The sequence below is a fragment of the Homo sapiens genome, chromosome 20 (genome assembly GCF_000001405.40).
Source record: "Homo sapiens chromosome 20, GRCh38.p14 Primary Assembly".
NCBI lineage: Eukaryota > Metazoa > Chordata > Mammalia > Primates > Hominidae > Homo > Homo sapiens.
Window position 1 is genome coordinate 3,782,760 of NC_000020.11, and position 23,759 is coordinate 3,806,518.

At 54.9% G+C, this 23,759-nt stretch overlaps 2 protein-coding genes across 13 annotated transcripts, besides 14 other annotated features; one reads left to right on the forward strand and one right to left on the reverse strand.

The window, feature by feature from the left end:
• Positions 1,092-3,981, reverse strand: CENPB (centromere protein B). Its single transcript, NM_001810.6, has one exon. The coding sequence runs from the start codon at positions 3,722-3,724 to the stop codon at positions 1,925-1,927; it is 1,800 nt and encodes a 599-aa protein (NP_001801.1). The 5' UTR covers positions 3,725-3,981; the 3' UTR covers positions 1,092-1,924.
• Positions 2,677-3,387: an enhancer, noted in NCBI's record as "H3K27ac-H3K4me1 hESC enhancer chr20:3766083-3766793 (GRCh37/hg19 assembly coordinates)". NCBI's record gives its function as "activates a minimal SCP1, AML or CMV promoter by ChIP-STARR-seq in naive and primed H9 embryonic stem cells {active_cell/tissue: H9 hESC(naive and primed)}" and the evidence as "EXISTENCE:reporter gene assay evidence [ECO:0000049][PMID:30033119]".
• Positions 3,353-3,492: an enhancer, noted in NCBI's record as "active region_17484". NCBI's record gives its function as "activates an Ori minimal core promoter by ATAC-STARR-seq in GM12878 lymphoblastoid cells {active_cell/tissue: GM12878}" and the evidence as "EXISTENCE:reporter gene assay evidence [ECO:0000049][PMID:35858748]".
• Positions 3,353-4,282: a biological region, named in NCBI's record as "H3K27ac-H3K4me1 hESC enhancer GRCh37_chr20:3766794-3767503".
• Positions 3,388-4,097: an enhancer, noted in NCBI's record as "H3K27ac-H3K4me1 hESC enhancer chr20:3766794-3767503 (GRCh37/hg19 assembly coordinates)". NCBI's record gives its function as "activates a minimal SCP1, AML or CMV promoter by ChIP-STARR-seq in naive and primed H9 embryonic stem cells {active_cell/tissue: H9 hESC(naive and primed)}" and the evidence as "EXISTENCE:reporter gene assay evidence [ECO:0000049][PMID:30033119]".
• Positions 3,933-4,282: a silencer, noted in NCBI's record as "silent region_12628". NCBI's record gives its function as "represses an Ori minimal core promoter by ATAC-STARR-seq in GM12878 lymphoblastoid cells {active_cell/tissue: GM12878}" and the evidence as "EXISTENCE:reporter gene assay evidence [ECO:0000049][PMID:35858748]".
• CDC25B (cell division cycle 25B) lies at positions 4,192-23,356 on the forward strand. Of its 12 annotated transcripts, none has more exons than NR_136336.2 (17): positions 4,192-4,380; positions 14,863-14,990; positions 15,653-15,704; positions 17,529-17,570; positions 17,703-17,739; positions 17,984-18,106; positions 18,212-18,334; positions 18,495-18,629; positions 18,963-19,043; positions 19,165-19,341; positions 19,522-19,617; positions 19,971-20,049; positions 20,151-20,213; positions 20,349-20,447; positions 20,645-20,778; positions 21,810-21,921; positions 22,062-23,356. NR_136336.2 is itself a non-coding variant. In NM_001287516.2 (16 exons), exons 1-16 carry the CDS (start codon positions 4,373-4,375, stop codon positions 22,200-22,202), a joined length of 1,551 nt encoding a protein of 516 aa, NP_001274445.1. In that variant the 5' UTR covers positions 4,192-4,372; the 3' UTR covers positions 22,203-23,356. The 12 variants fall into 12 exon arrangements, 10 of the variants coding, with proteins under 10 accessions (NP_001274445.1, NP_001274446.1, NP_001274447.1 ...); NR_136335.2 differs by lacking the exon at positions 4,192-4,380 and adding an exon at positions 13,030-13,120; NM_001287516.2 differs by lacking the exon at positions 19,971-20,049.
• Positions 12,547-13,278: an enhancer, noted in NCBI's record as "H3K27ac-H3K4me1 hESC enhancer chr20:3775953-3776684 (GRCh37/hg19 assembly coordinates)". NCBI's record gives its function as "activates a minimal SCP1, AML or CMV promoter by ChIP-STARR-seq in primed H9 embryonic stem cells {active_cell/tissue: H9 hESC(primed)}" and the evidence as "EXISTENCE:reporter gene assay evidence [ECO:0000049][PMID:30033119]".
• Positions 12,547-13,348: a biological region, named in NCBI's record as "H3K27ac-H3K4me1 hESC enhancer GRCh37_chr20:3775953-3776684".
• Positions 13,189-13,348: an enhancer, noted in NCBI's record as "active region_17485". NCBI's record gives its function as "activates an Ori minimal core promoter by ATAC-STARR-seq in GM12878 lymphoblastoid cells {active_cell/tissue: GM12878}" and the evidence as "EXISTENCE:reporter gene assay evidence [ECO:0000049][PMID:35858748]".
• Positions 13,579-13,648: a silencer, noted in NCBI's record as "silent region_12629". NCBI's record gives its function as "represses an Ori minimal core promoter by ATAC-STARR-seq in GM12878 lymphoblastoid cells {active_cell/tissue: GM12878}" and the evidence as "EXISTENCE:reporter gene assay evidence [ECO:0000049][PMID:35858748]".
• Positions 13,689-13,868: a silencer, noted in NCBI's record as "silent region_12630". NCBI's record gives its function as "represses an Ori minimal core promoter by ATAC-STARR-seq in GM12878 lymphoblastoid cells {active_cell/tissue: GM12878}" and the evidence as "EXISTENCE:reporter gene assay evidence [ECO:0000049][PMID:35858748]".
• Positions 13,935-14,142: a silencer, noted in NCBI's record as "fragment chr20:3777341-3777548 (GRCh37/hg19 assembly coordinates)". NCBI's record gives its function as "represses an EF-1alpha promoter that drives an FKBP-Casp9 reporter gene in an ReSE screen in K562 erythroleukemia cells {active_cell/tissue: K562}" and the evidence as "EXISTENCE:reporter gene assay evidence [ECO:0000049][PMID:32094911]".
• Positions 16,703-16,997: an enhancer, noted in NCBI's record as "tiled region #3723; HepG2 Activating DNase matched - State 14:Gen5', and K562 Activating non-DNase unmatched - State 18:Pol2". NCBI's record gives its function as "activates a minimal TATA promoter and a strong SV40 promoter by Sharpr-MPRA in HepG2 cells, with weaker activity in K562 cells {active_cell/tissue: HepG2 | K562}" and the evidence as "EXISTENCE:reporter gene assay evidence [ECO:0000049][PMID:27701403]".
• Positions 17,743-18,037: a silencer, noted in NCBI's record as "tiled region #8683; K562 Repressive non-DNase unmatched - State 18:Pol2". NCBI's record gives its function as "represses a minimal TATA promoter and a strong SV40 promoter by Sharpr-MPRA in K562 cells {active_cell/tissue: K562}" and the evidence as "EXISTENCE:reporter gene assay evidence [ECO:0000049][PMID:27701403]".
• Positions 19,078-20,277: an enhancer, noted in NCBI's record as "P300/CBP strongly-dependent group 1 enhancer chr20:3782484-3783683 (GRCh37/hg19 assembly coordinates)". NCBI's record gives its function as "activates an origin of replication core promoter dependent on BRD2, BRD4, P300/CBP, MED14 and CDK7 cofactors, with strong dependence on P300/CBP, by STARR-seq in HCT116 cells {active_cell/tissue: HCT116}" and the evidence as "EXISTENCE:reporter gene assay evidence [ECO:0000049][PMID:35650434]".

Below are 23,759 nucleotides of genomic sequence, written 5' to 3' on the forward strand. Positions count from 1 at the left end.
CAGGCAATGCTCCTCCTGCTCACTCGAGAGCAGGTGGGGCTTCCTTGTGGCCTTCTGGTCTCCAACTCCAGGGCTCGGATTTCGGGAGGGAAGGTGGTGGCAAGGGGGATCCCAACTACTTTTTGTTGTCACTTCAAAGCCCTCAAGGCCTGGAGGGGATTCCTGAATGCCAGAAGTAGAGGCCAAGAGTGGAAGTCACCCCCATTTCTTGTTTTAAAGTCATATATAGTGGTCTTGATTTTCCATAAGGGGCCATAACCAGGGCAGGCCAGGGACAAGAGATGAACTGGATACTCCCCCATTAACATTCCCAGTGTTGGAGAGGAGAAACTTGGTGGTAAAGGTGGGCCGGGGATGGGAAGGAAACACAGAAGTGATGTGCCAGCCTCAGGTGAGGTGGGAAAACCGGTTTGGGGCCCAGAGCTGCCAGCCATGCTCAAGCCCAGGCCCTCCCTTGGTTGGAACTGCTGGGGCCTGAGGGCCTCAGTGAGGAGGGGTAGGGAGGGAGGGGCTGGCTCTGAAAGGAAAAAGGGTAGGATCAGCAAAGGGACCTGACCTCACCTTTGTACTGGGGGCCCCCTGGAAGGCACTGCACAGGGAGTTACCAACCATCCTCTGCCTCTTGGGGGTGCAACCTGTTCCTAGCAATTTCACCTTCCTCCTGCCACTGTGCCTAGAGGTGGCCACCAGGCTTGGATATGCCAATCACTGAAAGGCCTAAAGGGCTCCCTCTTAAGGCACCAAAGGTAAACCAAAGGGTGACCTATATGCCCCTCCAAACTCCAATCTGGACCCCAGAAGCTGCCCCAACACTCCTTTCTTTCTGTCCTGACCCCACTCCTGCAAAGGCCTTCAAACCAGCCTCGGTAGGCCTAGTCCCCACGTGCATATTGATTTGCCCCCAGAGACTGATGGCTCCCTCCTGCCCCAGCCAAGTGACCCCAAGCTTGAGGTCTCCTCCTGCCCCTCTTCCGGTCAGGGCAACCCTCTCAACACTTGCCTCCATGTCCCACCAGAGCAAGGACCAAAGAGAGCCAGGACGAATAAGTCCCCCAAGACAGACGCAAGCCCAGACCATGAAGGATGCACCCTTGGCTGTTAAAACGTTCACCCCCACAAAAGGGGAGTGGACAGATTTATTGAAATCAAACTGGGAAAGGAGCAGCTGGACGGCTGGACTCTGGGCCCAGCCCCAGGCCCCTCTGCCCAGGATGGGGCCCTGCCAGAGAGGGAGGAGAGGCATGGGGCCTGCAGCTGCCCACAAGGAAGCGCCCTTGGTTACTTCCACGGTGGGGGGCCTCTTGGAAACCTCCAATCTGGAAAGAAAACCAAGGGCCAAAGTCACATGGACAGGGCCAGAGAAAGGGACTGGGGAGGTGGAAAGCAGGCAGAAGCAGGCTCAGGAGCCCGCAGTGAGTTAAACTGTGCTTCTCAAGGCGGCCTGGGGGGTGGGGGTGGGGGCTGCCAGCCTTGCAGGGGGCCTAGGCTGGACCTTCTTCTGGAGCCCTTCCCAGAATGGCTTTGGGGTCCCCCCACCAAAGACCTGACGTGGATGGCAGAGGGGAGAGGCACTCTCCGGCCGGGAACCTCCAGGGCCCATCCCTGGCTGCTGCTGTGGTTAGTCCACTGAGGGCACGGTGTGGTAGCACCGGACAGCTCCCCACCCGCCCCACCTGGTCCCCTGAGCCCAGGGCCAAATGGGGAGGAAAGAGGATTCTGAGAAAGAGGCAATAAGCAGGCAGTGAGGCTGACCTCAGCCCCGGGCCCGGCCGAGGTGACCGGGCCTGTTGCAGGACCAGGGGAAGCATTACTAAAGGATCTGGGGCTCTGCACTCTGGCTCCATGCACAGCGGGTGCCCAGAGAGTCCTCTGCCCTGGGGTGGTGCTGCCAATCTAGGTTGGGGGCACAGCTAGGTCCAGTGACTCAGCTTTGATGTCCAAGACCTCGAACTCCCGCCTGCCTGGCGTGGTTCTTCCTGGTCACATGAACCAGATCGTGTTCCAAGTGGAGGATGTGGCTCTGCACGCGGTCATCAATGGGGAAGGAGGTCAGGTACCTCTTGACCATGGCAAAGTAAGCCATGGCCTCCCCAAAGCTGGGTACAGGCACCTCATCACCATCCTCCTCATCATCATCGTCGTCTTCATCTTCATCATCCTCTTCCTCATCGTCCTCTTCCTCACTGTCTGAATCAGAGTCCTCCCCACCTTCCAGGAAATGCAGAGTAGGGCACTGGGCTTCCTCCTGGGCACCATAAGCCCCGAAGCTGCCACCGGCCTCCACTACTCCCTGGGCCCAGTCCTCAGCCTCCAAGCCCTCCGAGGAGCTCTCCTCATCTTCCTCCTCTTCTTCATCACTATCAACATCACCCTCCTCCTCCACCTCCTCTTCCTCCCCCAATTCCTCTCCTTCCCCCCCTTCCTCCTCCTCCTCCTCCCCTTCCTCCTCCTCTTCCTCTCCTTCACCCTCTTCCTCCTCCTCTTCTTCCTCCTCCTCCTCCTCTTCCTCTCCCTCACTCTTGAGGGAAGTGGTGATGGTGGCATTAGGGCCACCCCCAAAGCCAGCCTCACGAAAGCAGGCGGCTATGTCCGAAGGCTCCACTGCCTGCCAGGCGGCAGCCACAAAGTGCAGGGCCTCCGTGAGACCCAGCTGCAGGCCTGAGGGATCCTGGCCCTCTAGCGCGGCCATGGCCTTGAGCAGCATGGCCTGGCGGTAGTGGCCCTTCACCTGCTGGACCACTCCCCTCTCCAGCGGATGCACGGTGCCGGGAGGGAAGAAGGCCAGCTGCACATGCCGCAGGCCCGAGGTGTCCAAGGACTGGGCAGCCAAGCGGCCGGCCAACAGCAGGACCCGGCGAGACTCTGCAGCCATTCGGGTGTCCAAGGCCTTCAAGTACTTGGCCAGGGCCTGGGTGGTGACACCACCCTTGGAGTTGGCGGTGTAGTCGCAGGGCAGGCCGGCTTGGCCTGCGCGGGGCTTGGCCGACTTGCCGGCCACCAGCGGGGGCAGCTTCTCGCTGCCGTCGGCATTGGCGCATAGCAGGACGCTCAGGCGCTGGGTGGCTTGACGCGGCCGTCCGTCGCCTCCGCACAGCCCCGCGGCCTGGTCGGGCAGGAAGTCGTACCATAGACTGGTCTCGGTGGCGCTGAACACGTCCTGCGAGGCGTAGCCCTCGGCCACCGACGGCGGCTGCTCCTCCCGAGCGCGCCAACCAGTAGTGCTCCCGCCACTGCCCTCCGAGGGCACCGCGGCCGGACTGGCAGGCGCCGCCGGGGTGCGGGGGGCAGCGTTTCGCGCGCGGGCGCGGGCCACGCCGCTGCAGGACACCACGCCGTGGCGCCGGCGGAAGCGGTCCAGCCAGCCGTTGGAGGCGGTGAAGTCGTCCATGCCCAGCTCCTCGGCTATGCGCAGCGCCTTCTCCTTGAGGATGATGCCCTTGACCGGCAGGCCGGCGGCGCGGATCTGCTGGAACCAGGCGATGAGCAAGCCCTCGAGCTTGTCGTAGGGAGACAGCTTGTTGGTCTTGCGGCAGGTGGAGGCCACCCCGTACTTGCGCTCCGACGCCAGGATGGCGCGCTTGTTCTTCAGGATCGTGCTCAGCGTGGACGGCGGGATGTTGAAGCGCCGCGCGATCTCGCCCTTGCGCAGGTCCGGATTCTCCTCCACCTCCTGGATGATCCGTGACTTCTCCCGGAACGTCAGCTGTCGCCTCTTGGGGCCCATCCCGGCGCGCCCCCCGCCCCGGGGCCCGGCGCCGCCGCCGCCGCCCCGGGGCGGGGGGCCCGGGCCCGTGGCGGGGGGCACCTGGCGGCCTCTCCCGCGCGCCCCGCCCGAGACAAAGCGGCTCGCGGGCGCGGCGGCGGGGCGACGACCCGGCCGGGCCGGGGGCACCTCCGGGGACGCCGGCGGGCGCGTCGCCGGGCGGCGGGCGGCAGGCGACGGGCGCAGACGAGGGCGGGCGGCGCGGGCGCGGAAGGCAGGAAGTGCCGCGGCGCGGGGAGCTGGGAGCGCGGCGAGCGGGGCGGAGCGGGCGGAGCGGGATCTCGCGGGAAGCGCGGGGACGCCCGGCGCCTCCTCCCCGCCCTCCGCGCCCACCCCCTTCCCGCCGCCGGGACATACCGCGGGGGGGCGCTGCGGCCTGCTGGACCTGCCCGTGCTGCGGCCTCCGGCGACCCGGCAGCGACGCGGGCGGGGACGCGGTGCATCGCTACTGCGCCCGGCGGACAGCGACTTGCTGCTCAAAAAGAATAAGAACCAGGGTTTTTGTTTGTTTTTTTTTTTTTTAATTAAGGTAAAAATAACGCACTTTTTTTTTTGCGGAACCTGAAAAATTCAAGAAGTTGAAAAACGCTTTTCACGTCACCTGGAGAGATGCACAGGTAACATTTTGATACATTTCCTTCCAGTCTTTTCTCTAGATGCATGTCGTTTTCTTTTTAAAAATTTATTATATAAAACTGGCATCAGACTGTATAGACTGTATATCTGGCATCTCCTGCTGTTTTACCTGGCATCAAGTAGTGAGAATTTTGCCATATCGGTAAGTATCATTGCCAACACGCTTTTTAATGATTGTGTAGCATTCCAGCTATGAATGAACACTAGCGTATGTAACCTATTGTTACACACTTAAGTTATTTTTAAAATCAGCATTACAGTTGTAAATCTATTTGATGGTGCTAATGACATTTTTAAAGTTCTAGTAATCCCACAACCCATAGATAAACACTCATAACATCTTGGTGTGTCACTTTCTGGGCTTTTCCATGCATATAGCCATAAATGTATGTGTTTGCACTTACAGAAATAACATCATGTATATACATAAGTGTGAATCCCTGAAGCCTCCCTCTCCTGCAGCAAAACATTAAAATGCCAAGCTCTTAAAACAATGAATGTATAGCTGTGTTTTTAAAAATCTCTTAGGGCAGCACTAAGGGGAACTCCAGCATTGGCAGAGGGGAAGGCTGTGACCCAGGGGGACAGGCTGAGGACCTGGGGCTGGATGAAGCTGTGGGTGAGTGTAGACAAAGAAGAAAAGAGGACCAAGGACAGTGCCCTGGGTCCTCCAAGGTTAAGGGCTCAAGAAAGAGGCCAGGTGCAGTGGCTCACGTCTGTAATCCCAGCACTTTAGGAGGCCGAAGCAGGCGGGACCACTTGAGATCAGGAGTTCAAGACCAGCCTGGCCAATATAGTGAAACTCCGTCTCTACTAAAAATACAAAAAATTAGCCAAGTGTGGTGGCACTCACCTGTAGTCCCAGCTATTCGGGAGGCTGAGGCAGGAGAATCGCTTGAGCCTGGGAGGCAGAGGTTGCAGGGAGCCAAGATCATGCCACTGCACTCCAGCCTGGGCAAAAGAGTGAGACTCCATCTCAAAAAAAAAGAAAGAAAGAAAGAAAGAACCAAATAGAGACTCTTGAAGTGGAGGAGCCCCTGAAGCAGGAGAAAAACCAGGCTACTGTGGCATTCTGGAAGCCAAAGGAAGAAAGTGTAACTCACTGCTGTTTTAGTGCAAATTTCTGTTTTCGTATGTTTCTTGGCCATTTGAATCCTGTGAATTTTCTAGTCATATCCTTTGACCATGTGTTTGTCTTTTTCTTGACTTTTAGGAGCTCTTTACATGCTCTGAAGAAAAGATCTTGTTAAGTATGTTGCAAATGTTTTCTCCCTGTCTGCCACTTGTCTAAGTTAGTTTAGGGAATCTTTTGGATATGAGAAGTTTTTAATCTTCAACCTGTCAATTTTTTCCTTATTGCTTCGGGGTTTTGTGTCTTACTTAGAGAGGACTTCCCTATCCCTGAGATATAAAAGATATTCTTTTAATCTCAAGGTCCAAAAGAACACGTGGGAGACTTTTCCAGAGCACTGCTTGGCCCAAGAGGAGTGTGTGGTCACTGGGCAAAAATGAATCTAAGATTACCTGGATGAGAACTCCTTGCCATGCATCTTTTCTTTCTTTCCTCTCTTTCATCCTTTTCCTTGTTTCTTTCCTTCCTTCCTTCCCTTCTTTCTTTCTCTTTCTCTCTTTTCCTTCCTTTCCTTCTTTCTTTCCTTCCTTCCTTCCCTTCTTTCTTTCTCTTTCTCTCTTTTCCTTCCTTTCCTTCTTTCTTTCCTTCCTTCCTTTCTCTTCCTTTCCTTTCCTTTCCTGTGGCCCCTCCTTAGTGCCATACAAAGGGCATTGGCACAATTACTTCTAGGACAGAAAAGCCACGCCCATCATATGCTGATGTCATAGCCATTTCCAGATACCTCGTCTACCCTTTGCCTGTAGCAGTGCACGGGGCCCATTTCCATCCCCTCTCAAGTGACCATTTCCCCCAGCAATCCATCTGAGGCCCCGGGCTTCCCCACCTCTTTCTGTAAGTCCCAGCTTTCTGCTTTTAGGACTGTTTGGGAAATCCATAACTCACCTTCTCTTCTTTTGGTCCAGCCTGCCCAGAGCTGTCCTTCAGGCCCCTCAGCAAGCTTTCCATTCTCCTTTTGTTTATTTGAGACAGGGTCTAGCTCTGTCACCCAGGACGGAGTACAGTTGCACGATCATAGTTCATTGCAGCCTCAGTCTCCTCAGTAGCTAGGACTACAGGCATGAGGCACCATGCCTGGCTAATTTTTAATTTTTTTTTTTGAGACGGAGTCTCACTGTGTTGCCCAGGCTGGGAGTGCAGTGGCGTGATCTCAGCTCACTGCAACCTCCTCCTCCCTGGTTCAAGCAATTCTCCTGCTTCAGCCTCCTGAGTAGCTGGGATCACAGGTGTACACCACCATACCTGGCTTAGTTTTGTATTTTTAGTACAGACAGGGTTTCACCATGTTGGCCAGGCTAGTCTCAAACTCCTGACCTCAAGTGATCTGCCTACCTTGGCCTCCCAAAGTACTAGGATTGCAGCCGTGAGCCACCTCACCCGGCCAAAAAATAATAATAAATAATAAAAATAAAGAGAACAACATTGGGCGCGGTGGCTCATGCCTGTAATCCCAGCACTTTGGGAGGCCGAGGTGGGCAGATTACGAGGTCAGGAGATCGAGATCATCCTGGCTAACACGGTGGAACCCCGTCTCTATTAAAAATACAAAAAATTAGCCGGGCATGGTGGCGGGCGCCTGTAGTCCGAGCTACTCAGGAGGCTGAGGCAGGAGAGTGGCGTGAACCCGGGAGGTGGAGCTTGCAGTGAGCGGAGATCGCGCCACTGCACTCCAGCCTGGGCGACAGAGCAAGACTCTGTCTCAAAAAAAAAAAAAATTAGCTAGGCATAGTGCCTTGCGCCTGTAGTCCTAGCTCCTAGGGAGGCTGGGGTGGGCCGGAGGATCACCTGAGCCCAGGAGCATGAGGCTGCAATGAACTATGATTGCACCACTGCATTACAGCTTGGGTAACAAACTTTGTTTTGAAAGAAAGGAGGAAAAAGAAAGAAGGAAAGAAGGAAGGAAAGAAAAGGCAGAGATTGCAGTGAGCCGAGATTACGGCACTGTACTCTAACCTGGGTGACAGAGTGAGACTCTGTCTCAAAAAAAAAAAAGGTTTTATTAAGATATATTTCAAGAAGCATACAATTCACCCATTTAAAGTGTACAGTTCACAGATGTGCTCAACTGTCACCACAGTCCATTTTGGAATTTTTTTTTTTTTTTTTTTTGAGACCAAGTCTCACTCTGTCGCCCAGGCTGGAGTGCAGTGGCTCAATCTCGGCTCACTTCAACTTCAACCTCCGCCTCCCAGGTTCAAGAAACTCTGTCTCAAAAAAAAAAAAAAAAGATTTGCTTAAAAGTTAACATCTCGGGCTGGGCACGGTGGCTCACGCCTGTAATCCCAGCATTTTGGGAGGCCGAGGCGGGTGGATCACGAGGTCACCCAGGCTAGAGTGCAATGGTGCAATGTCAGCTCACTGCAACCTCTGCCTCGTAGGTTCAGTCATTTCTCCTGCTCAGCCTCCCAAGTAGCTAGGATTATAGGCGCCAACTACTATACCTGGCTAATTTTTGTATTTTTAGTAGAGACAGGGTTTCACCATATTGGCCAGGCTGGTCTCAAACTCCTGACCTCAGGTGATCCACCTGCCTGGGCCTCCCAAAGTGCTGGGATTACAGGCGTGAGCCACCGCACCTGGCCTAATTTTTGTATTTTTTGTAGAGACAGAGTTTCACCATGTTGCCCAGGCTGGTCTCGAACTCCTGAGCTCAAGCGAGTCTTCCTCCTTAGCCTCCCAAAGTGCTGGGATTATAGGCATGAGCCACCACCCACACTTCTTTTACTCTAGGAAACTTGTTCAGAAGTCCATTTGCTATGATCTCAACATGTAGTCTTTCAATAATGAGCCCCTACCAAGCAGGCATCCCCACCTGACTGCCCGTTCTCCTTAAAGGTTGCATGTATTGCACAGTGCAAAGGAATCACCTCCCCTATTGAAGACAATAACTCAACGAACATACATCTGTGTGTACTTTTATCATCTCCTTAAGAGAAATGCTGAGAAGTGGGATATTAGGGTCAGGGGCCAACTTTGGTCTTGAACCAAAGTTCTGGGAGCAAGGTTCTGGGAGCCTGGGAGAGAGGTAAATGATTTAGTCCTTGTCCTTCAATAGTCCAGTCAGCTTGAGATGAGATTCAAGAAAGGGAAAAGGAGATTTCAATACTTAATGCTACTGGGTGTGGTGGCTCATGCCTGTAATCCCAGCACTTTTGGAGACTGAGGCTGGTGGATCGCTTAAGCCCAGGAGTTCAAGACCAGCCTGGGGAACATGACAAAACCCAGTCTCTCCAAAAAATACAAAAATGTGCCAAGCATAGTGGGATGCGCCTGTAGTCACAGCTACTTGGGAGGCTGAGGTGGGAGGATTGCTTGAACTCAGGAGACAGATGTTGCAGTGAGCCGAGATTTAACACTGCCCTCCAGCCTGGGTGACGGAGAGACTTGGACTCAAAACAAAAACAGAAAACAAACTAAATGCTGTGCCTCCCATCAGTTCCTCCCTAGGAATTCATCTTGTAGATAGCACACAGACACATAAGGGCATACTTACTGCATCGTTGTAAAAGCTAATATCCTAAATGTTCAGCATTAGGGGCTTGAGTAAATATATATTGTTATGGTACTAATATGGATCCATCTCCAAGTAAGAAGAAGAAAGGTATAGAACAGTGGTTTTTATTTTTATTTATTTATTTATTTTTGAGACAGAATCTCACTTTGTCACCCAGGCTGGAGTGCAGTGGCACGATCTTGGCTCACTGCAACCTCCGCCTCCTGGATTCAGGTGATTCTCCTGCCTCAGACTCCCAAGTAGCTGGGATTACAGGCACATGCCACCATGCCTGGCTAATTTTTGTATTTTTAGTAGAGACAGGGTTTCACCATGTTGCCCAGGCTGATCTTGAACTCCTGACTTCAGGTGATCCACCTACCTTGGCCTCCCAAAGTACTGGGATTACAGGTGTGAGCCAGCATGCCAGCCTAGAACAATGTTCATATGCTGTTTGTATATTCTTTAAAATACAGACGGATTTACGCTTGTAAAGATATAGACCTGCAGCCACTAACCCTAAGTGGCCATTGAACTATTAATTTATTTATTTTATGTTTAGAATCAAAGTCTCACTCTGTTGCCCAGGCTGGAGTGCAGTGGTGGAATTATGGCTCACTGCAGACTCAAACTCCTGGGCTCAAGCTATCCTCCTACCTCAGCCTCCAGAGTCACTTGGATTTTTTGTTTGTTTGTCTGTTTTTGAGACGGAGTCTTGCTCTTTTCGCCCAGGCTGGAGTGCAATGGCATGATCTAGGCTCACTGCAACCTCCGCCTCCCAGGTTCAAGCGATTCTCCTGCCTCAGCCTCCCGAGTAGCTGGGATTTCAGGTCGGTGCCACCAGGCCAAACTAATGTATGTATTTTTAGTAGAGACAGGTTTTCACCATGTCGGCCAGGCTGGTCTCAAACTCCTGACCTTGTGATCCACCTGCCTCGGCCTCCCAAAGTGCTGGGATTACAGGTGTGAGCCACCGTGCCCAGCGAGTCACTTGGATTATAGGCAGGGGCCACCACACCGGGCTAAGTTTTTAAAAAATGTTTTGTAGAGACAAGGTTTCACCATATTGCCCAGGCTGGTCTTGAATTACTAGCCTCAGGCAATTGTCCTGCAGCAGGCTCTGGAGTTGCTGGGATTATAGGTGTGAGCCACAGTGCCAGCACTATTGAGCCCTTTAAATGTTGCAAGTACAAATTGAGATGTGCTGGGGGTGTAAAATGCATACTAGTTTGAAGACTTGATATCCAAAAATGTAAAATATCTCATTAATTTATATTGATAACATGTCGAATAATATTTTGAATACATTACATTGAATAAAATATTACAGTAATTTCATGTTTCTTTTTTACTGTTTTAAATGTGGCTACTAGAATATTTTAAATTATGTATGTGGGCCAGGCGCAGTGGCTCACGCCTGTAATCCTAGCACTTTGGGAGGCCGAGGTGGGTGGATCACCTGAGGTCAGGAGTTCGAGACCAGCCTGGCCAATATGGCAAAACCCTGTCTCTACTGAAAATACAAAATTGGCCAGGAATGGTGGCGGGCACCTGTAATCCCAGGTACTCGAGAGGCTGAGGCAGGAAAATCGCTTGAACCCAGGAGGCAGAGGTTGCAGTGAGCCGAGATCATGCCACTGCACTCCAGCCTGGGCGACAGGGCGAGACTCCATCTCAAACAAACAAACAAAAAAACCCAGAACCCCTCTGTGGTCTTGCCCACCTCCCCCCTCACTGGCCCAGAGGTGACCTGACTGTGGGATTTCTGTTTTTTTTTTTTTGGTTTTAGAGAATTTTATTTTATTTTATTTTATTTTTTTATTTTATTATTATTATACTTTAAGTTTTAGGGTACATGTGCACAATGTGCAGGTTAGTTACATATGTATACATGTGCCATGCTGGTGTGCTACACCCATTAACTCGTCATTTAGCATTAGGTATATCTCCTAATGCTATCCCTCCCCCCTCCCCCCACCCCACAACAGTCCCCAGAGTGTGATGTTCCCCTTCCTGTGTCCATGTGTTCTCATTGTTCAATTCCCACCTATGAGTAGAATATGCGGTGTTTGGTTTTTTGTTCTTGCGATAGTTTACTGAGAATGATTATTTCCAATTTCATCCATGTCCCTACAAAGGACATGAACTCATCATTTTTTATGGCTGCATAGTATTCCATGGTGTATATGTGCCACATTTTCTTAATCCAGTCTATCATTGTTGGACATTTGGGTTGGTTCCAAGTCTTTGCTATTGTGAATAGTGCCGCAATAAACATACATGTGCATGTGTCTTTATAGCAGCATGATTTATAATCCTTTGGGTATATACCCAGTAATGGGATGGCTGGGTCAAATGGTATTTCTAGTTCTAGATCCCTGAGGAATCGCCACACTGACTTCCACAAGGGTTGAACTAGTTTACAGTCCCACCAGCGGTGTAAAAGTGTTCCTATTTCTCCACATCCTCTCCAGCACCTGTTGTTTCCTGACTTTTTAATGATTGCCATTCTAACTGGTGTGAGATGGTATCTCATTGTGGTTTTGATTTGCATTTCTCTGATGGCCAGTGATGATGAGCATTTTTTCATGTGTTTTTTGACTGTGGGATTTCAAGGGATTCAATAGTATAATGCCTGCCCTGCCACATACACCCTGTGCAGATGTATATTGGCTGGGTGGGGGGTGGGGGGGATACCTGTTGTGTTTATTTTGAAAATGCAAATCTCGGGGCAGTTTTTTTTTTCTGGTTTTTGGGCTGGGTGGCTTTACAAGGACACTTCCCCCTTCCCTCCTGGCACTAAGGGCAGTCACATCCTCACTGGAAGTAGTGGCTGGAGGTCCAGGGCATAACCCCTGACCCAGGGAGGATGAACCGGAAATTCAGTCTTGCAGAGCCCTCTGCACAGCACAGGAGCTGGGCAAAATTTGGAGAAAAGGAAAGGTCACGTTCCCACCTTGGCCACCCCTCTCAGGTGGGGCTGGGGTCTTCCCCTACCCTTCAGATGCATTGGCCCACCCAGCCCCCCATCACCAGGCCCTCCCTTTTGCCACCCCCATCCAATGCACCTTGGGTCTGGGTGGCTGGGACTGCACGAGAAGGGGTACTCCTGCCTTGCTGAGCTGCAGCCCGCCCCCCGCACCACCACCCGCCCAGCCAGAGGCCACTTCTAACCTGGGGAGACAGGATGCGAAAGCTGCTCACTACCCACCGGCTTTTGGGTGCAGCCTTCAGGCCTCTTGTTCCAGGAGGCCTGGAAAACGAGCGGGGCTGGAAGGCATTTAGATAATTGGAAGATGGGCCGGGCACAGTGGCTCGTGCGTGTAATCCCAGCACTTTGGGAGGCCTAGGTGGGTGGATCACGAGGTCAGGAGTTCGAGACCAGCCTGGCCAATATGGTGAAACCCCCGTCTCTACTAAAAATACAAACATTAGCTGGGCGTGGTGGCGCGCTCCTGTAGTCTCAGCTACTCGGGAGGCTGAGGCAGAAGAATCGCTGGAACCCGGGTGGCGGAGGTTGTAGTGAGCAGAGATGGCCACTGCACTCCAGCCGGGTTGACAGAGGGAGACTCCATCCCAAAAAAAACAAAACAAAACAAAAAGAAAGATAATTGGAAGCTGCTCCGCTTAAAACGAATGACAAATTCAGCCTCCCTGGTCTGGTCATCAAAGAAACACCAATTAAATAATATGGTGCCATTGGCACCAAGTTAGCCAAATCATCAATGGGCGTGATACTTAATTCGCCTCTCTGGTTGCTGACACCCTCCTCGACCCCCAGCCGCGGAAATCCATTCCTAGTTCCACCGTTTAGAGCCTCTCCTGGGGCTGCCGCGAAAATTGGGCCGGTTGGGGTAACATCTAACCTGGGGTCCCGCGAAAGAGCCCATCAGTTCCGCTTGGGGGCCCCACTGCCCTCCCACCTCCTACGCTGGGCGCTTCTCCTGCGAATGACGTTTTGCTGCTGCTCAGCGCAGCCAGTCGCGGAGGCGGGGAGGCTGCGCGGTCAGAGGCGCCTGGAGCGAGCGAATCCTGGCCCACCGCCTGCCCAACCGCGTGACCTTGATTGAGTTAATGAACTTCACGCCTCAGCGTCCAGGTCTGTAAAATGGGGTGTCTAACGCAGACCGTACAGCCCAGCTGGGTTTAGCAAACTTCCGGGAGCCAGTTGGAGCCTCTCCCCATCCCTAGCGGTGATCCCAGGTGACGACATGCCGCGGGGGGTCCTGCGGAGGCCACCCTAGGGCGTTGCTGCTGCCTTTGGGAGTGTGGAGCTCCAAACCATGTCGCGAGAGGCGGATTTTGGGAGGCCGGGATCCTCGCGCCAGGGGGATGTGCGAGGGTGTGGGATAAATCTTAATTCCTCCGGCCCACCCAAAGCCTGGAAATCCAGCCTCCGCGCCTCTTGCCCTGCGGGCCCCGCCCTCAGTCCCGCCCTCATCTAACCCGCTACCCCATTGGTGGCGTCCGGCGGCGCGGCTGCTGTTATTTTTCGAATATATAAGGAGGTGGAAGTGGCAGCTGCAACTAGAGGCTTCCCTGGCTGGTGCCTGAGCCCGGCGTCCCTCGCCCCCCGCCCTCCCCGCATCCCTCTCCTCCCTCGCGCCTGGCCCTGTGGCTCTTCCTCCCTCCCTCCTTCCCCCCCCCCCCACCCCTCGCCCGCTGCCTCCCTCGGCCCAGCCAGCTGTGCCGGCGTTTGTTGGCTGCCCTGCGCCCGGCCCTCCAGCCAGCCTTCTGCCGGCCCCGCCGCGATGGAGGTGCCCCAGCCGGAGCCCGCGCCAGGCTCGGCTCTCAGTCCAGCAGGCGTGTGCGGTGGCGCCCAGCGTCCGGGCCACCTCCCGGGCCTCCTGCTGGGATCTCATGGCCTCCTGGGGTCCCCGGTGCGGGCGGCCGCTTCCTCGCCGGTCACCACCCTCACCCAGACCATGCACGACCTCGCCGGGCTCGGCAGGTAGGACACCCCAAGGAGGCTGCATATGGGGGTGAGAGGCTAGGTCTGGAGTCCTGGGCCTCCTGGAGAACTGGGCATGGTAGTCGAATCCAGGAGGTGGAGTCCGGGGAGGCATCCTGAGCAGTGGAGAGGTACGCCCTTGTTCCCTCCTAGGGGCCCAGGACATGGGAAGTGAGACCTGGGCTGTGCCCCCCACACCTCCAGGTGACCTGCTCTCAGTCTGCACAAGCCTCTCCAAATCTTCTTTCCCCTCACTCCCTCCTCCCTCATTGTGCCTCCACCACGCTGCCTCCGTAATCTCTGCCCGGATAGCCACCATTTTGCCCCAGGATGGGAATCTCAAGCCTGGAGAGGGAACTTAAGGGTGGCAGAGCCGTGGAGCACTCACACATCCATGCCCCTGCTCCCTCCACCCCAGTTCTGCCCCCAGAATTAAGACAATTAATTAAACACTGATCCTGCTCCCTAAGTCTGCAAGGGGAGAGCTGGGTTGTTCCAGTAGGAGAACCTGGTCTTGGTCCATCCTTCAGGAAGGGTCCTGGAAAGGTGGGGGTCTGACAGTTTAGGGGAAGGCTCTCTGGGGCGGCTCTGCTAGACCACCAACCCTTAGGCTGGCCTCCAGCCAGGCAGCCTTGCTCACACCCTGGGCTCACCTTGCCCTGCTCCTGAGAGGACCTTTCCTAAACCAGTCAACGAAGAGAAGACGCTTTAGGGCCTCTGTAGAATGAACCTTCCTTGACCTGAGAAGAGGGGGCCCTCAGGGCCATTGCTTTCCCGGTGTAGTGTTTCGCTCAGTTCTTTTCTCAGCAAGGGAGTGGGAACGTGGGCTAGCCAGGCCTTGAGCCCCACGTTTACCTTTCTCCTTTCCCGGGTCCCTGTTCCCTTCCCAGCGAAACCCCAAAGAGTCAGGTAGGGACCCTGCTCTTCCGCAGCCGCAGCCGCCTGACGCACCTATCCCTGTCTCGACGGGCATCCGAATCCTCCCTGTCGTCTGAATCCTCCGAATCTTCTGATGCAGGTGAGGCCCAGGGGAGCCTGGGGAGATCTGCCTGTGTCAGGAGAGTTTGTGGGGGCTGCCTGGGCCTCCCAATTTCCCTGCCGATCAAACTAACATCCTCCCCACAACCTGGTGGGCCCAGGAGCCTCTCCCCCACCCTCCACAGAAATGGGAGGAAGACACACCTCTTGTGGGGCTCACCACACCCAACGCGGACTGGCTGAGTGGATGAGAGGGTGGGGCCCTCTACGGAGATGAGATCTTACCTATGTAAAACCACGCTCCAGAGTTCCTAAACCACAACCCTACCTGGGAAGCACCCAGGGCTGAGAGTTGGTCTTTAAAACATTCTTAGCCTATAACCTCTTCTTTAAAAATCTGTTGTCTCTTCTAGAACAAATTATTTTAAACCAGTTCAAGAAAAATGCTTAGTGAGCATTGTGGTTTAAAGACGCATATGAAGGAATTTCCATAGTAAACAGGGAGTGGAGCCCTGTACCGTCTGGGGGACGATGTGTCAGCTCTCAGGGTCCATGGTTGGGTTTTTGTTTCATTTTCTAATGTGTCAAAGTCCAAACTAGAAACTGTTTTTTTTTTTTTTTTTTTTTTCATATTGGGACATGGTGGGGGAAAGAATACAGAAAGTGCCACTACTTTCAAACCAAGGTGCTCTGTCCCCTCAGGTCTCTGCATGGATTCCCCCAGCCCTATGGACCCCCACATGGCGGAGCAGACGTGAGTAGAGAAGGGAATGTGTACTTCCAAGCATTCAGCACCTGTCTTTAAGAATCCTAGTTCTACCATAAATTCACCCGGGAGGCCTGGGAAAGCAGACAGACCATGGGGTGGCTTCAGGATCCCCATGGCCGGGGGGCTCACTGACTTTCTCAGGCCTTGGCATTCTGCTCCCTGTCTCAGAGAAGGATCTGCTCTCATGGGAGCCAACCGAGTGTGGGCTCAGGGCCAGGGATAGTGGGGACAGTGGCCACTGGGAGAGCAGATACTAGACTACAGCCCATGTCTTGCAGGAATACAAGCCCAGCGTATGTCCCGTTTTTCTTTCTTGCCTATACCCATTTTTTTCTGTGAAATATTACAATTTAAAAATATGATCCAACTAATTCAAAACTTTAACTCACTCTAGGCCAAACAAAACACAGTTGCCTGCAGATTGATTTGGCTCTTGGCCGATCAGCAACCTCTGACTTCGATGACACTTTACCCTCTGGCCAGCCCTGGTCTAGGCCCTTTCTGCAAGGGAATGGAGAGAGAGTTGGTGGGCTCTGGCCTGGACAGACCATCCCCTTGGCTGTGGGCATGGGTGGTGTCTTCCAGAGCACAGCTGTTCCCATCCAGTTGTTAAAGCCCAAGCAGCGGGGCAGCTGCCAGCCATTAGTAGGGACAGCTGGGCATCTCTGGCCTGTGCTGGGGACTGTGGCTTTGGGTTTAGGATAGTGACTTGTCTTACCTCCCATTGCCTTTGATCAGACTGGGTTGGGCTGCAGATTGGTTCACAAACAGGAAATGGGGAGAGGATTGGGTGGGGTTGGGGGACTGCAGGTTGGTTTTGGTGGCAGCACAGAGCAATCTTGCCCTACCCCCAAGGCCCATGTGCAAGCCAATGAAATTGGTCATCCCTGATGCCAGGTTGGCTGGGCACAGCAGCCCCCCGGGGGGGCATCCCCCTCATACTTTATCCCTGAGTGGTTCCCTGCCCTGCACCTGCTCTGACAGTTATACAGAGTTTCTCAGAAGCTGTGTGTGTGTGTGTGTGTGTGTGTGTGTGTGTGTGTGTGTGCGCGCGCGCGCGTAGATGCACAAAAGCTCCGCGTGGCAGGTGGTCTCCTGTAACACGGCTGAGGGGGCGGGGCCTCAGAGGGAACATGTGTTGGAATTCCTTGCCTGCTGGCCTCTTCTAAGGCAGGAGGAGGGGGTGGGACAGAGGCTGGTCCTGGAAAATTCCATAGGAGGGAGGAGAGGATGTGAGCCTGCACGTTTGTCACTGGGGGTCTACTGTATCAGACTGGAGCTGACTGGGGGAGCCCTAAAGCAGGCCCCAGTCCTCAGAGGACCGGGAGCCAGGCCAGCTCCTCACAGGGGAGAGGAAGCCTAGCCTTGCTGTTGTCCAGGCCCTGGAGACACCCACATTGCTGGGTGCCCCTGGCCTATCATAGGATGGATGGATGCCTTTCCTGGCAGCCATATGGCCCCGCTGAGGTGATTTGCATACAGGTGGAAGGCCTGGTGCAGGCTGGCGAGACTGTTGCCTTGGTGACGCCTCCCTGACCCTGACCTGCCCCAGCTGTCTCTATCACTGCCATTCTCTGGGCTTTCTTTCATTCAGGGCAGCCTTTAAAATTCCAAGCTGCCTCTTATCTTCCCCCTCCCCAATACCTGGGCCCCCTGATGGTGGGCGTTCTTCCCACCCCACCCCTTCCACTGCCTTGAGCCTTGGCCCTTGTCTTTGCCCTTACTCCCCCCTGGACTGGGGGCCTGGTGCTGGGGTGGGTGATGGGTGCGGAGGGAGCATGGGTTGCATGGGACCCTTCTCTGTCCTAGGTTTGAACAGGCCATCCAGGCAGCCAGCCGGATCATTCGAAAGTAAGTGTTCCTGGGCCTCTTCCATCTACCACAAGCTTTCCCTTAGGACAGGGCTCCAGAAGGGCATGCTGCATGCTCTTGGTCCCTGCCCTGCCTCTCCCAGCTCTCACCTGTCCCCATTTCCTCCTGTAGCGAGCAGTTTGCCATCAGACGCTTCCAGTCTATGCCGGTGAGTGTCTTCGAGGCCTGACTGAGGCTTAGGCATGCTAGCCAGGCATGGGGTAGATGAGCAGGATGCATTCAGGGATCACCTCCCAGCTGGGTGTCCCCAGGCAGGCTGTAGGAGATGGGGTTTCAGAGGTAGGTAGGTAAGTGGGAGGAGCTGGAGGAGAGGTGGAGAAGGTAGGGCCTGGGCTCGTGCCGGAGGAATGCAGCCTTCATTCCTCTGCCTGCCGCCCTGCCTGGCTCTCTAGGTGAGGCTGCTGGGCCACAGCCCCGTGCTTCGGAACATCACCAACTCCCAGGCGCCCGACGGCCGGAGGAAGAGCGAGGCGGGCAGTGGAGCTGCCAGCAGCTCTGGGGAAGACAAGGAGAATGTGCGCTTCTGGAAGGCCGGGGTGGGAGCTCTCCGGGAAGAGGAGGGGGCATGCTGGGGTGGTTCCCTGGCATGTGAGGACCCTCCTCTCCCATCTTGGCTGCAGGATGGATTTGTCTTCAAGATGCCATGGAAGCCCACACATCCCAGCTCCACCCATGCTCTGGCAGAGTGGGCCAGCCGCAGGGAAGCCTTTGCCCAGAGACCCAGCTCGGCCCCCGACCTGATGGTACATCCAGAGAGCGGATCCCTGGGAGGGGCCTGGGGAGGCAGCCTCGGAGAAGAGGAGGGTGGCCCTGAACCCCCAGGCACTGGGAACTTTTCCTCAGGAGGATGGGGGCGGGAACTATCTCCACCTCTAAGTCTGTGTCTGTCTGTCATGTGGACAGTGTCTCAGTCCTGACCGGAAGATGGAAGTGGAGGAGCTCAGCCCCCTGGCCCTAGGTCGCTTCTCTCTGACCCCTGCAGAGGGGGATACTGAGGAAGATGATGGATTTGTGGACATCCTAGAGAGTGACTTAAAGGTAAACAGCCTTGTCCCACCAGGCCCCTACCTTCCTATCCCTGGGTTCGCCCAAAAGAAGAGAGCTCTGAGCCCTTGTGGCAGGACCATGATGTCATTCCAGTGTCAGAAGAAGAATCTGAGGTAACTGAGTCACAGCCTAACCTCTGGCCAATGAGAGAAGAACAGGTGGCTGGTGCCACAGTGGAGGGCGGTTTGGGAGGTAGGGGAGCTTCTCACCCCAACCTGGAGTTTGCCAGGGAAACAGGGAAGGCTGTGCTGGAGGATTCCGGGACTGGAGGGGTTTGGCCTATGCCTGTGGGTTGTGACCCTGTCCTTGCTAATCTGGCCTCAGGATGATGATGCAGTTCCCCCAGGCATGGAGAGTCTCATTAGTGCCCCACTGGTCAAGACCTTGGAAAAGGAAGAGGAAAAGGTGGGCCTCTGGGGTGGCCCCCTCCGAATTTGGAGGCATGGGGTCCATCCTACTCTCCAGTGGATTTGAGGGATGGGACGGGGCCTGGGCACCCTGATCCCTAACCTGCTGTCCCTGCCAGGACCTCGTCATGTACAGCAAGTGCCAGCGGCTCTTCCGCTCTCCGTCCATGCCCTGCAGCGTGATCCGGCCCATCCTCAAGAGGCTGGAGCGGCCCCAGGACAGGGACACGCCCGTGCAGAATAAGCGGAGGCGGAGCGTGACCCCTCCTGAGGAGCAGCAGGAGGCTGAGGAACCTGTGAGTGCCTTCCTCCTGGGGTTCACTTTGGCATGCACCTGGGCAGCCACCCCCTTGGCTAAGTTTGTGGCAGAGGGCAGGTGGCAGCCTGGGCATGGCAGAGAAAGGGGGTACCAGCCAGCCAGAGCACTGGGGGGCAGCCCCACCCTGACCCTGGCCTCCATCTGACTCACTTTCCAGAAAGCCCGCGTCCTCCGCTCAAAATCACTGTGTCACGATGAGATCGAGAACCTCCTGGACAGTGACCACCGAGAGCTGATTGGAGATTACTCTAAGGTACCTGCAGCAGCGAAGGGGGTACCTTGGGGGCTTGACCTCTTACTGACTAGGGGTCCTCTAGCCCAGGGGCTGCTTGGGTTCCTCCCTTTCTCCCCGGAGCCCCCCTTTTCTTTGTCCTTTGTATCTTTTCATCCTTTGTTCTCACATAGACTCCTCCCTCTGGCCCTCCTTGTCTCCTGACTCCACCTCAAGTCAGTCCAGGCATCTGTTGAGTCTCCGTCTTATTTCCAAGCTCATACCTAGCTTGGAACCCCCTCATGCCTCACCTTCGGGCTTGGCAGAGGGTAGGGAGCAGAGTGTGGAGTTCATCTCTTCCACTTCCCTTTTTCATTTCTCTTTCCCCTTGGAAGGTTGTTCCCTGGGTGTCAGACCCAAGAGGTGCCTCTCAGTTGCCATGGGAACCAGAACTGAATTTGAAGGCCAAAGCAGGTGTGGCCTCTGATTTTGGGAATGAAACTTCATTCTTTGAGGCTCCTGGTCTTACCAATTTAACTTTCTCCCCTCTCCCTCATCCCTTCCGTTCCCTTCAGGCCTTCCTCCTACAGACAGTAGACGGAAAGCACCAAGACCTCAAGTACATCTCACCAGAAACGGTAAACAGCGTTGCGTCATTTTCTAGGCAGATTTGGGACTGTAGCTCCATTGTTGACCTTCCCTGGGGACAGGCTAGGGCCACCTGCCAGCTGCCAGCCTGACCTGCCGGAACCAACCCCCATGACCTCCTACAGATGGTGGCCCTATTGACGGGCAAGTTCAGCAACATCGTGGATAAGTTTGTGATTGTAGACTGCAGATACCCCTATGAATATGAAGGCGGGCACATCAAGGTAAGATGGGGCAATGGGGAGAGGCCCTGAAGATCCCACCTGGTTTAGGTCCTTGCTTTGCCAAGAGGGTGAATGGGTGGAGGACGGGTGCCCCCTCTCATGGGGAGGGTTCCTACTAAGAGAAGGACAGCGACTGCACGGGGAGGGCCCTGACTCCTGGACCCGGGGCTGTGCCTGACCTCTGGCTCCTCTGACAGACTGCGGTGAACTTGCCCCTGGAACGCGACGCCGAGAGCTTCCTACTGAAGAGCCCCATCGCGCCCTGTAGCCTGGACAAGAGAGTCATCCTCATTTTCCACTGTGAATTCTCATCTGAGCGTGGGCCCCGCATGTGAGTCCCAGCTCCGCCCAGCCAGCTAGTGTCTGCCCTGGCCTTCCCTGCCCAGGCTCACAGGTGCTGGCACCATTGAGATGGCCAGGGGTGCAAGTCCAGGTCCTCCTCTGTCCCATCTGATGGCCTAGAGCTGACCTCAGCCCCACTTCACTGTGCATGGTACCCGCCTCCCATCTCCCTCACTGTCCTGCCTATCAAGCCTCATGTCCACCCCACATCCATTACTGCCACCCTCAGAAAATTTAGTTCCAAGTCTCTAGCGGTGTCTTTTCTCGAAATCTAAGGGCCGCGTGTCAGTCCCCAGTACACGGACCCTCCCCATGTTCAGTGCTGTTAGGTCTCCATTAGAACCTCTTCCATTGGCATCCACAGCACCTGGGCCTCCCTGGCTGAGCTCCTTCTGTCGCTATTCCTGTTCTGCCTGGCCATCTGTCCTCCCACCCCTGCCTCCTCCTGGGTTGCCACTGGTCCATATGACTGCTAGTGGCTCCCCAGCCTGGCCTCACCCATGTGGTGGGAATCTGCACCCAGACGCCCCTTACAGAGTCGCATCCCTGCGGCCCTCCCAACTTCTCCAGGCATCCCAGCATATGGCACCCACCTCCACCTGGGCACCGGGCCTGGGCACTGGCTTCAGTCTTGGGTCCTCCTCCTCCCTTCTCCCCACCACTGATCCTCACCAGGTCTTGTCCAGGAGTGGCCCGAATGGATCCCTTGAATTTGGCCCACTTGTCTCCTCTCCTGCTTCTCCTTTCCTGGTCCAGGCACAGATATCTCTAACAAAGATTGTGCAACTGCCTTCTAGAAACGGAGAGTTCATCCCCTTGATTTTACCTCCTTCCTTCCGCCTCCCCACCCTCTTCTGTAGCCAGAGTGACCTAAAAGTGTTCTTGTGGTTACATTCCTGTGCTCTAAAGCTTTCTGTGGCTCCCCAAGGCCCTCAAAGGAGGGGACGTGGGGGATAGGTCCCATGATGTACAAGCCACTGCATGCCCCACTCTGACCACACCCTGCCCATGACGCCCCAGGTGCCGTTTCATCAGGGAACGAGACCGTGCTGTCAACGACTACCCCAGCCTCTACTACCCTGAGATGTATATCCTGAAAGGCGGCTACAAGGAGTTCTTCCCTCAGCACCCGGTAGCGTGGGTGGGGAAGGCCACAGTCTCTGTGTGAGGGTTGGCTTGGCCAGGCTGGAGCCATGGGATGGGGGGTGGGAGGGTTGGGTCCCTGCCAAACTTACCCATTCCACTGCATTGACCCCTCCTGTCCTGCCCTAGAACTTCTGTGAACCCCAGGACTACCGGCCCATGAACCACGAGGCCTTCAAGGATGAGCTAAAGACCTTCCGCCTCAAGACTCGCAGCTGGGCTGGGGAGCGGAGCCGGCGGGAGCTCTGTAGCCGGCTGCAGGACCAGTGAGGGGCCTGCGCCAGTCCTGCTACCTCCCTTGCCTTTCGAGGCCTGAAGCCAGCTGCCCTATGGGCCTGCCGGGCTGAGGGCCTGCTGGAGGCCTCAGGTGCTGTCCATGGGAAAGATGGTGTGGGTGTCCTGCCTGTCTGCCCCAGCCCAGATTCCCCTGTGTCATCCCATCATTTTCCATATCCTGGTGCCCCCCACCCCTGGAAGAGCCCAGTCTGTTGAGTTAGTTAAGTTGGGTTAATACCAGCTTAAAGGCAGTATTTTGTGTCCTCCAGGAGCTTCTTGTTTCCTTGTTAGGGTTAACCCTTCATCTTCCTGTGTCCTGAAACGCTCCTTTGTGTGTGTGTCAGCTGAGGCTGGGGGAGAGCCGTGGTCCCTGAGGATGGGTCAGAGCTAAACTCCTTCCTGGCCTGAGAGTCAGCTCTCTGCCCTGTGTACTTCCCGGGCCAGGGCTGCCCCTAATCTCTGTAGGAACCGTGGTATGTCTGCCATGTTGCCCCTTTCTCTTTTCCCCTTTCCTGTCCCACCATACGAGCACCTCCAGCCTGAACAGAAGCTCTTACTCTTTCCTATTTCAGTGTTACCTGTGTGCTTGGTCTGTTTGACTTTACGCCCATCTCAGGACACTTCCGTAGACTGTTTAGGTTCCCCTGTCAAATATCAGTTACCCACTCGGTCCCAGTTTTGTTGCCCCAGAAAGGGATGTTATTATCCTTGGGGGCTCCCAGGGCAAGGGTTAAGGCCTGAATCATGAGCCTGCTGGAAGCCCAGCCCCTACTGCTGTGAACCCTGGGGCCTGACTGCTCAGAACTTGCTGCTGTCTTGTTGCGGATGGATGGAAGGTTGGATGGATGGGTGGATGGCCGTGGATGGCCGTGGATGCGCAGTGCCTTGCATACCCAAACCAGGTGGGAGCGTTTTGTTGAGCATGACAGCCTGCAGCAGGAATATATGTGTGCCTATTTGTGTGGACAAAAATATTTACACTTAGGGTTTGGAGCTATTCAAGAGGAAATGTCACAGAAGCAGCTAAACCAAGGACTGAGCACCCTCTGGATTCTGAATCTCAAGATGGGGGCAGGGCTGTGCTTGAAGGCCCTGCTGAGTCATCTGTTAGGGCCTTGGTTCAATAAAGCACTGAGCAAGTTGAGAAACCAGCATTGTGTCCTGTGGGGCCCTGGGCAAGACCCCAGAAGCCCGCCAATGGCGGGATTGGGGTAGGAGACAGGGTCAGCAAAGGCAGGAAGAGTTGCTGGAGAGGTGCCCTCATGCTCTTGTCCCTTCTTCTCCCAATGTCTTCCATCTCTTGGGTGACACTCCTGCCAGGACTTTGGATTCAACCCCTCCTTCCCCTCACCTGGCCTCCCAAGCACTTCTAGGCTTGCCCTTCCTAAACTCGGCACCAAAAGGCAAGAGTGACCTCATCACTCAAGGATCATCAGTGGCTCCCCATTGTCCTCAGGATAAACTTAAAGCCAGCTGCAGTGACTCACGCCTGTAATCCCAGCACTTTGGGAGGCTGAGGTGGGCAGATCACGAAGTCAGGAGTTCGAGACC

Coding starts and splice junctions, on each gene's coding strand:
- CDC25B (NM_021873.4), top strand. CDS start 13,773: ATGGAGGTGCCCCAGCCGGAGCCCGCGCCAGGCTCGGCTCTCAGTCCA. Junction 17,740..17,983: donor GACGCTTCCAGTCTATGCCG/GTGAGTGTCTTC, acceptor CTGGCTCTCTAG/GTGAGGCTGCTGGGCCACAG. Junction 18,335..18,494: donor GCTCGGCCCCCGACCTGATG/GTACATCCAGAG, acceptor TCATGTGGACAG/TGTCTCAGTCCTGACCGGAA.
- CENPB (NM_001810.6), bottom strand. CDS start 3,724: ATGGGCCCCAAGAGGCGACAGCTGACGTTCCGGGAGAAGTCACGGATC.